The following is a 10,787-nucleotide window of genomic DNA, read 5'->3' on the forward strand; positions in this document are numbered from 1 at the left end:
ACACCAGCAGACACTGGCAGGCCAGTGACAGTAGAATGACATAGACACGAAGAGAATTCAGTCAGGGGTGGTCAGAGAAGAGTCCAGCCGCTGGATGGCCAGACTCCAGGGGAAGATCGCTTTCCCACTCCATCCCCCTTCTGACTCCCCATCCATCTCGCTGAGAGCTACCTCCACCACTCAATAAAAGCTTGCACTCATCTAAGCCCACGTGTGATCTGATTCTTCCAGTACAGTAGGGCAAGAACCCGGGATACAGAAAGCCCTCTGTCCTTGTAATGGGGAGTTGTAAACACTCACCCCTAGGTACTGCCATGGGGTTGGAACCCAAACATGCTCCCCGCAACCTCTGCACCTGCTCATCTGCATGCTCCCACTATGGGGCTGAACAGTGGGGTTCCAAAGAAGCGAGCAACACCCCTGTTACATGCCCTGCAAGGGGGATAAGGGAACTTCTCCGGTTTCACATCCACCTCTCAGAAGGCTGTCCTGACATCATGACCTAGCCTGCCATGCCTCTGGGTAGCATTCCATCTCTGGAGCCAGGCCTTCCAACTGGGCTGCTCCCAGGCCCTTGCCCACTCTGGTAAGTGGCTCCCCACTGGTTCTTCTGATAAGACCGGGGTGTGGTGAGTGAGATAGGGAGACACTTGCCTCAGGGACAATATTTGTGGGTTGCTGAAAAACTCAGTAATCAAGATTCTATTTTAATGGATCAGTAAGAGTGCTTAAAGGAATATTTATAGTTTCGGGTGTTTGAGAAGAAAAAAAAGGTTTCTTCTCCAGCCTTAAAGAGTCAGAAAAAGAAGAATAAATTGAACCCAAAATAGAAGGAAGAAATCAAGGAAATAGGAAATACACTAACAAGAGTTCTGTTTCCAGCAAAAAAAAATTATCCTCCCACAGATAACAACTATAAGTGCTGGAAAAATACATAAAACCAACTAACCAAGGACCCTAGAGAGTGAACCAAAGCAAGCACACTTCACAGGAGAGTTGAAGTTCACAGGAAGCAGCCAGCATGGGGGAAATTCTCATTTTTTTCAGCTTTACCCTAAGGATAGATGCAGCTGGCTTGTGTCAGAGGTCAACTAAAGCTCCTGTAAATAGCTCACCATTTTTCTGGCTCATGAAAAAAAAGAGAAGGTCCCAAGGGCAATCAGGGCTACTGGAGGGTGGAAGAAATCCAAGAAAGAAGAGCACATGAAATGGGAATCCCTAACTTTGTGCATAAACTCTGGACAAGTCAGTGGGTGACCACCGAACCGTGCATAGAGAGGGCAGACTGCACCAGTCCAAACTAAGATCATAAATACTATGTAACCACTGGCAAGACCAAGCTTGAAGTTTAACTCTAACAAAGTTTAACTCTAACTAGCCCTCTAAGTGAACATCCACATACTTTGTAAAAAGAGAATGGAATTCAGAATCTCTACAACATATCTTTGACAATGTTCAGGATACAATTCAAAATTAAAAGACCTATGAAGAACCAGGAAAATGTGGCTTACTCTCAAGAGAAAAGGTAGTCAAGAGAGCCTAACCCTGGGGTGATCCTGATGTTGGAATTATTACATAAAGGTTGTAAAATAGCTGTTAAAACTATGCTCAGTGATTTAAAGAAAATATGCAATAAATGAAAACTTAAGAAATCTCACTAAATACATAGAAACATGAAAAGAACCAAATTAAAATTTTAGAACTGGAAAATAAAATACTTGAAATAAAACTTTTACTGGATGAACTGAACAGCATAATGGAGGTGAAAGAGGAAAGGATAGGTAAGTTTTAATATAAATCAATAGAATTATCCAAACTAAAGACAAGAAAGAAAAAAAGACTAAAAAAAGTTTGTCAAACACCAGGAATCTGCGGTATAATGTTAAATGTACTGGCAAAAAAATCCCAGAAAGAGAATGGGGCAGAAAAAAATATTTGCAAAATAATGACAGAAAATAACCCTCATTTGGTGAAAGAGAAAGATGCACAGATTCCAGAAACTCAGAGGACCCCAAACAGGAGATGTTGTATTATATCAATATATATAGATTATATATGCAGAAGACCATTTTAAAAATAATCAAATCAAACTGCTACAAACCAACAATAAAGAGAAACCTTTGAAGAGAGCAAGAAAAAAATTCTACATTACATGCAGGAGAACAATGATTCTAATGATCACAGAATCTGAAAAGAGACCATGGGGTGTAGAAGATAGTAGAACAATATTTTAAAATGTTAAGGGGAAAAAAAAACTTGTCAATTTAGATTCTATTTCCAGATATATATGTTTGTTTCCAGATATATATATATATGAAATATATATATATTTCTATATATATTTCATATATTCTTCTGAAATATATATATATATATTTCAAGAATGAAGACAAAATGAAGACATTTTCCAAATAACAGAAAACTAAGAAAAATTGTCTCTACAGACCCACAGCACAAAAAATATTAAAGGAAGATTTTCAGGCTGAAGGGAAATAAAATGTCAGATGGTAACTTTCATCTTCAAGCAGGAAGAAAAAGCGTCAGAAATGGTAAATATCTAGGGAAAAACCTGTTTTCTCTTAATTTATTTAAAACACATATGGATATATTTATAATTCTAAAAGTATCTTGTGGATTATACATCTATATGTATGTGGATTATACATATATGTATGTATACACACATAATAGCATAAAGACAGTGGGGTAGTGAATGGATATACACACTTGTAAGATTCTTACATTCATATAAAATGATACAGTTTAACTCGAACTAGACTGAAAAGTTAAGAATGAGCATGGGATCTTCAGAGAAAACCACTAGAACTGATAAATTAGTTTAATAAAGTCACATGGTAAAAGATTATTATAATCAATTGTATTTTTAAATACCAGCAGCACAAATTTGGAAAATAAAAGCTAAAAATTTATTTATGATAGCTTCAAAAATAAAATATTTAGGAATATATTTGACAAGATATATCTACAACTTACAACTGAAAAATACACAACATTACAGAGAGAAACTAAAGAGCACCTAAATACATGGAGAGATAAACCATGCTCATAGGTTGGAAGACTCAATGTGGTTAAAATGTCAATTTCCCCAAATTGATTAATAGATTTATTACAATCCCAACCAAAATTTCAACCAGCTGTTTTGGAGAAATTATCAAACAGATTCTAAAATGGATGTCACAATACAAAAGACTCAGAATAGCCTAAGATTTTTTTTAAAAGAATCATTTTAGAGGATTTGTACTAATTATGTCAACATTTATTGTGAAGGTGTAGTAATCAAGATGGTATGTAATTACAAAAGGGTAGACATTTATCAATGGATCAGAATAGAGTCCAGAAGTAGACCTACACATATAATGCCAATTGAATTTTGGTGAACATGCCTGAAAAAAATTCAATGGGGAAAGGAGAGCCTTTCCAGCAATGGTGCTAGAATAACCAAATCTTCATACGGAAGAAAAAAACACTACAGAGAACCTCACATCACACACAAATTTTAAAAGGGATTGTAGACCTAAATGTATAAGCTAGAAATACAAAACTTCAATTATGTTTTGTTATTAGGTATAAGCTAGAAGTACAAAACTTCTTGGGAAAACATACAAACACATTTTTGTGACTTTGGGGTAGGCAAACATTTCTTAAACAGGACGTAACTAGTATAAACAAGGAGAAAGATGATCATTGGATTTTATCAAAATTTTTTAAAATTTCCTAAGGGAAACAATTAAGCTAATAAACACAAACCACAACATTCGGCAAAACTATATATATATATGACAAAGCACTTGTATCCAGAATATATAAAGAAGTCCTGCAACTGAATAAGAAGACAAAAAAGTCAATTAAATTGTAGGCTGAAGACTTTTTTTTTTTTTTTTCTGAGACGGAGTCTTGCTCTGTCGCCCAGGCTGGAGTGCAGTGGCGCCATCTCGGCTCACTGCAAGCTCCGCCTCCCGGGTTCACGCCATTCTCCTGCCTCAGCCTCCCGAGTAGCTGGGACTACAGACGCCCGCCACCATGCCCGGCTTATTTTTTGTATTTTTAGTAGAGACAGGGTTTCACCGTGTTAGCCAAGATGGCCTTGATCTCCATTGGCAGAAGATTTGAACAGATTCTTCACAAAAAGAAGATATATGAATGGCCAATAAACATATGAATACATTATTCTACATGATTCGTTGTAGAAATGCAAATTAAAACCACAATGAGATGTCACGATAAATCCATGAACAGAAAATAAAAAGACTAGCCCAATTGTTAATGGGTACATGGAGCAAACGGAACTCTCGTATACTGCTAAACAGAATACAAAATAGCACAACCACTAAGGAAGACTGACAATTTCTTAAAAAGTTAAACACACATATTGTAAGACTCAGACATTCCATTCTTAAGCACTACCCAAGTGAAAAGAGAACATCTGTCCACTCAAGGACTTGGTTGGGCAGTCATCCCTTGGCATCTGAAGGGGATTGGTTCCAGGATCTCCTTCAGATACCAAAATCCAAGGATACTCAAATTCCTTATATCAAATTGTATAACATTTGCATATAACCTACATCTATTCTCTTATATACCATCTCTAGATTATTTATAATCATAATACAATGTAAATGCTATGTAAATAGTTGTTTACTATATTTGATTTTGAAACCTATTATTTTTATTGTTGTATTCTAGTTTGTATTGTTTTGCTATTTATATTTTTGATCCATGGTTGGTTGAACCCACAGACACAGAGGGCCAACTGTACAATATTGTTCATGGAAGCCTTCTTCATAATAGCCAAAATATCTGTAAACCACCTAAATATTTATCTATTGGTGGCCGGGCACGGTGGCTCATGCCTGTAATCCCAGAACTTTGGGAGGCCAAGGTGGGCAGATCATGAGGTAAGGAGTTCAAGAACAGCCTGACCAACACGGTGAAACCCCATCTCTACTAAAAATACAAAAAAAACAGCCGGGCATAGTGGCGAGCATCTGTAATCCCAGCTACTGGGGAGGCTGAGGCAGGAAAAATGCTTGAATCCGGGAAGCAGAGGTTGCGGTGAGCCGAGATCGCGCCACTGCACTCCAACCTGGGGGACACAGCAAGACTCTGTCTCAAAAAAAAAAAAAAAAAAAAAAATATATATATATATATATATATATACACACACACATACATCTATCAATCGGTAAATGGATAAAAAAATATGGTCTGCCCATACAATGGAATACAAGAAAAATCAATGATCTACTGATGAGAAAAACAATATGATGAACATCAAAGCCATTCTGCTGAGCAAAATGAGCCAGAAGTACATACTGTATGATTTCATGCACAGAAAGTTAATCAGAAGTTGCTTGGGGTCAGGAGTGGAGGGAGAAATGGACTGAAAGGACCTTGAGCAAACTCTGGGAGCAATGAAAATGTTCTGAATCTTAGTTGCAACGACGATTCACAGGTTTATACATCACTCAAAGCACATCAACCAGGACAGTTTAAATAGATCTTTATCTTACTTTTACCACAATAAATTGGATTTTAAAATTAATGTGCATGCTAATCACTAGGGAGCTAGTTGAAATGGAATTCTGATCCATTAGATTTGGGAGTTTCCTAAGTTTCCACATGTATTACAAGCTGCCAAGTGATACCCATGCTGATGGTCTGAGTTCCACACTTAAGAGAAGCTTCAGACTACGATTATTCAATCCCCAAATGATGAAGCCGAGGAGCATTTTATGAATTCTCTTCTCGGGTGTGATTAACATTACCTCTCTCATGCTTTTAGAGCTGTGTCATGTCCCGGAACTTCCCCTGACGCGACATTAATACTCTGTGAGGTTGCTAATAACAATCACATCTGGCATTTACAAAGCACACACTAAGTGTTGGGTACCGTTCTTACAGCTGTACATGAATTTACACATTTAATCCTTGATACAAAAGCAGGTACTATTACTATCTCATATTGACAAATGTCAAAACAAAAGCCCAGAAAGTTTATGGGACTTGCCCAAGGTCACCCAGCTGATGAGCAGATGAGGTGGATTCAAACCTAAGCATCCCAAACTCTTAAGCACTGTGCTCTGTGGCTTCTCCTTGGAGGAATTATAATCCTCTGAGTGAGGAAATCTTCCTGCTTTGCCACACTTTATGGAGGGCTTTACTGGTTCAACATCAAACATTGTTGATTGAGCACTTGCCATGTGTCAGGGATTTACCCAGGAGTTGGTGGTCTGCTCTGTGCATACTTCCCTGAAAACACATATAATCCTTTGCCTACTAACCCAGCATTGGCAGTGCCCACTCTGTGGGTTGTTTGCCAAGAATGCTGACTGTCATTACTTTGCCACCTCCCTCCATTCTCCCACTGGGGGAGTCACAGGTGAGCAGAAGCAGCCTCATACGTTTCCCTAGTGTCAGAGCCAGAGCTATGAGACAACCAGGCTATGAGCATCTAGGGTTTTGTTGTGCTTTTGTGATCTCTGACTATCAGAAATATGGAGCGTTGTTCAGATATCCCTGCAACTCGAGGAAATTCATTTAAACTAAAGCATGACAGCTGTCAGTGAGATGAAAGGTAGAGCTGAATCTGGAGCTCCTTCGTGCAGGCCTGTCGTATTATTCCATTCTCATGCTGCTATAAAGAATTACCTGAGACTGGGTAATTTATAAAGAAAAGAAGTTTAATTGGCTCACAGTTCTGCAGGCTGGACAGGTAGCATGGCTGGGAGGCCTCAGGAAAATTTCAATCATGGCAGAAGGTGAAGGGGAAGTAGGCACGTCCTACATGGCTGGAGCAGGAGGAAGAGATCGAAAAGAGAAGGGCTACACTCTTTTAAACAACCAGGTCTAGTGAGAACTCACTCGCTATCATGAGAACAGCAAGGGGGAAACCTGCCCCTGTGATCCAGTCACTCCCACCAGGCCTCTCCTCCAACACTGGGGATTACAATTCCACACGAGATTTGGGCAAGGACAGGAATCCAAACCATATCACCTGTCAACATTTCCATCTCCTTGACCAAGTGGGAGTGAGAGACTCCTGACCCCTCTCCTGGAATAAGGATAACATAACCCAGGGCTTCAGAGTTGTGAGCTCCATGTGCTAGCTTGTTGCAGCAAGTCTTGCAGAAGTTGAGTGATGGGGACAGAGACCCAGCAAAGGCTCTCCTAGGAGAGCTGCATGATGCATTAACAGTGTCCACTACAGTACAGGAGCCTTTCAGGAGAGATATAAGGAGGAGTTTCCTGAGCAGGAAAGTTGTTGATCACAAGAACAGGTGAGCAATGAAGACAAAACTAAACTGGAGTCACAACAACTCGGATATAAATCCACCCTGAGGCAGGGGACTGGACCCATTGAGCTGCCAGAGCCCTTATATATCTATAAGTTGACTTCAGAGAGTTTCAAATCCGATAGGACTTTGCAAGTACCATATCGAAGATAAAGAAGCTGATCCAAGGGAACGTTGGCCAAGCCCACTTCGCAGTTGAGAACAACATGGCTTAAAAACAGCCTGCACAGCTTCCTGGACGTCCCATCACATTTGCCAAATAGCATTTTGGTGAGCTGAGAATCAATGAATGAGAAACAGATGGATTTAATGTCCCTTGAAATTAGGGATGGGTGAGCCCAGCCACACTGTGGAATTGCTGAATGTCTCAAACTATTTTTTTCAAGTATCTTTGGTTCAGAAAAACCAAAACCATGGTTTTGCAAAGCACGTTTCCTCTCATTCATATGAGGGTTCGTGTATTTTAACGGAAATTTGATCTGCATATTTCAACTTCTTTACACTTCACTTATCAAAATGCTAAATAAAATTTCCAGGAAGTCTGAGAAATATTTATAACTTTTTTTTCCAAACTATTTTATTTAGGAAAGGAAACAATGGGGAAGTTTGGAAAATCCTACAAAAGAGAAGGTGGGTTCAGGTGGAAGTTCACACTTTTAGGGAGTTCTATGTCCCAGAATTACGCACATGTTAGGTGTGCAGTCACAATGTGCTCAACGAGTATATTTGAAAATCTCTTGAAAAGTGAGGGGAAAGGTGGGAAAGTTCAATAAGGACAAGCTTGAGGAAAGGCTGAAAAATACAACATAATTTAAAATAGCTTCTCATCTCTAATAGCCAGGCAGTGTATTCCTAGCAGCCATAAATCTAATGACGCAGAACTATAGCATTCTTGTATCATCCACCAGCATGAACTCCACCATTCTTCAGATGTCTTTTCTCTTTATAAGACTTGTGATAAAGGTGCTTATAGGATGCTCATGAGTGGAGGGATGGCAAGAGGAGAGGGTGGAAGAAATGCACCACAGAGGGTGGGTGGGAGCAGGCGGTGGAGTGAGTGCCCAGCGCCATCTTTGTTTTAGAGAATGACTCTGACCACAGACTTATGTGTGAGCCCTGAAGAGCTGTTTCTACTTAAAGCTTAGCTTTCGGTTCCAGAGGACCAAGTAAGACACAAGCGGGAGAGACGCAGTCATCCCATCTCTCAGGGAGCTCAGTCTGTTTGTATTGTGCTGGAAGCACAGTGCTTGCTCATCACCGACAGGCAGACTTCTGCTCATAGTGTCATTGGCAGAGAGTGCAGCAATGGACACTGCCCAAAAGGAGAGAAGAAGGAAAAGGCAACTCCTTGTGGTATCTGATTACGTTTGTCTCAAATGCCCAGGAGACATTCCCTGGGGATTCCCAGAAAAGCAATTTAAGATGGGGATTTGACAGGGAGCAATAATAATTATTGATACAATCTGAAGAATAATGTTTATTACGATGAATATGCTTCTCATTTAAATCCCCAGGCTGGTGCAGGAAGCACAAACATGGATTACATATCTCTTTAAAGCCATGTATTTTCTGGCTTTTAAATTAGAAAACCCAAGTAGGGTTGTGTGGCAGTGACAATAGGAGTTGTCAAATATTCCTGGGACTCCCCCACATTTCCCAGCAGCCTTCCAGGTAGTTAGGTTGGTGGCAGTGATTGATCTGGGCCAACAGGGTGTGGGCATGAATGATGTGTGGCATTTTCTGACCAAGATAGTCAATTCTTCCATTCCTCCCTCCCCTCCTCAGAGATCTTGGTCTACAATTTGCCCAGATGTTTTAGCTAAACTGGACTTCTCACAAAGGAGAACTGAGCTTTTACTCTGTAAAACCACTGTGATTTGGCGGGGGCGAGGGTGGGGGGTCTTGTTTGTTACAGTGGCTAGTGTTAACTAGCCTGATTAACACAAGCGTTAACTAGACTAATACAGGTTGTAAACTTACAACCTGTCATTATGATACCCTGATAGTAATAAAGCTGGTGGTTTGGGGTAAGATTCTCAGAAGTTTTTGAGAATATAGTAGTGCCTTATATTAGTAATCTACTGCTATATTAAAAACTACCTTAAGAGGTAGTAGTTTAAAACAACAAGCATTTATTATCTCAAAGTTTTTGACGGTCAGGAATTTTGGAGTGGCTTAGGTAGGTGGCTCTGACTCAAAGTGTTTCATGAAGTGCAGTCAAAATGCTGGCAGGAGCTGCAGTTATCCAAAGGCTTGATTGGGGCTGGAGAATGCATTGCTCATATAGGAGCCCTCAATTTATTGCTGGTTTCTGGCTGGAGTTCTCATTTCCTCATCAGATGCTCCTCTTTGTAACGATTCTCAGGCAAGGGAAGCTAGCATCATTCAGACAGAGTAATCCAAGAGAGAAAGCAAACAGGAAACCACAGAATCTTTTATTGCCTAGTATCTCATGTTGCTTCCTCCCCCACCTATTCATTAACAGTAAGTCACTCAGTCTAGCCACACTCAAGAAGAGGAGAATAGGTTACAGCTTTTCAAGAGGGTTTCAAAGAATTTGTGAACAGATTTTAAACTACCCCAGAGTGGGTACACCCCATTACCCCAGAGTGGGTTTGTAGGTAGCTAAGGGGGTAGAATGGTGGGTGGCACCTAAGGTGGGGGGTTCAGTGACCCAACATAAATCAGGCTAATAGAGTGTAATGGTGTGACTGCTCCTATCTTACATTATTCCTTAATCGCAACAGCGGATGAAGGGAACCCAGCCAATTCTATTCAAGCAGCCTGGACTGGGCCCCTGACAAGCATCTGCATATGGAGATGCCAAGGTAATTTGAGATGGGGATTTTCTACAGGGAGCACAGAGAAATTCCTGGTTGCTTACCTCTGTGCATAGACATGATGCAGAGGAAATGAACTCTCATGAAACAGGACATTGTGCCGTAACCAGGCTTGCCCTGGCTGTATAGGGAGGTGAGTTCCGGCATTGTCCTCTGACATAGCCCCCTCCTCCCAACCTCCCAGCTTGCCTGGCGCTACATAGTGTGCTAATTGCTGATAGAAACCCTGGGAGTTTGCAGAGGAGGATAAGATAGATCCTACAGAAAGAGAAATTCTTCCCTTTGCATAAAACCTGTGCAAATGAAGCTGATCTTGATCTTAGCCCATGGCAGGGAATGGCAGTAACACTGGAAATATTGGCTTTGTGAAGGCTGGAATTTTTCATCTTTCCTCCTATATTCATAGTGCCTATATAAGTGTGCACTAAATAAAAAGCACCTTGCTGGTATTTTTTAATTAATTGAATGAGCTAGCATTTACCATGGAAGAAGGTGTGGTGGCATAAGAGGGTGACAGGAGTTCTAGGTCTCATAGGTTCCTGATGCCAGAAAATTCACCAGCCCAGCCATACTGATGGCAGCCTTGCACCCTGAGGAAATGGTTGTGTGAGTTCCTATGAAACAATAACATTGG

This window comes from Homo sapiens, chromosome 21 (assembly GCF_000001405.40).
Source record: "Homo sapiens chromosome 21, GRCh38.p14 Primary Assembly".
NCBI classification, from domain to species: domain Eukaryota; kingdom Metazoa; phylum Chordata; class Mammalia; order Primates; family Hominidae; genus Homo; species Homo sapiens.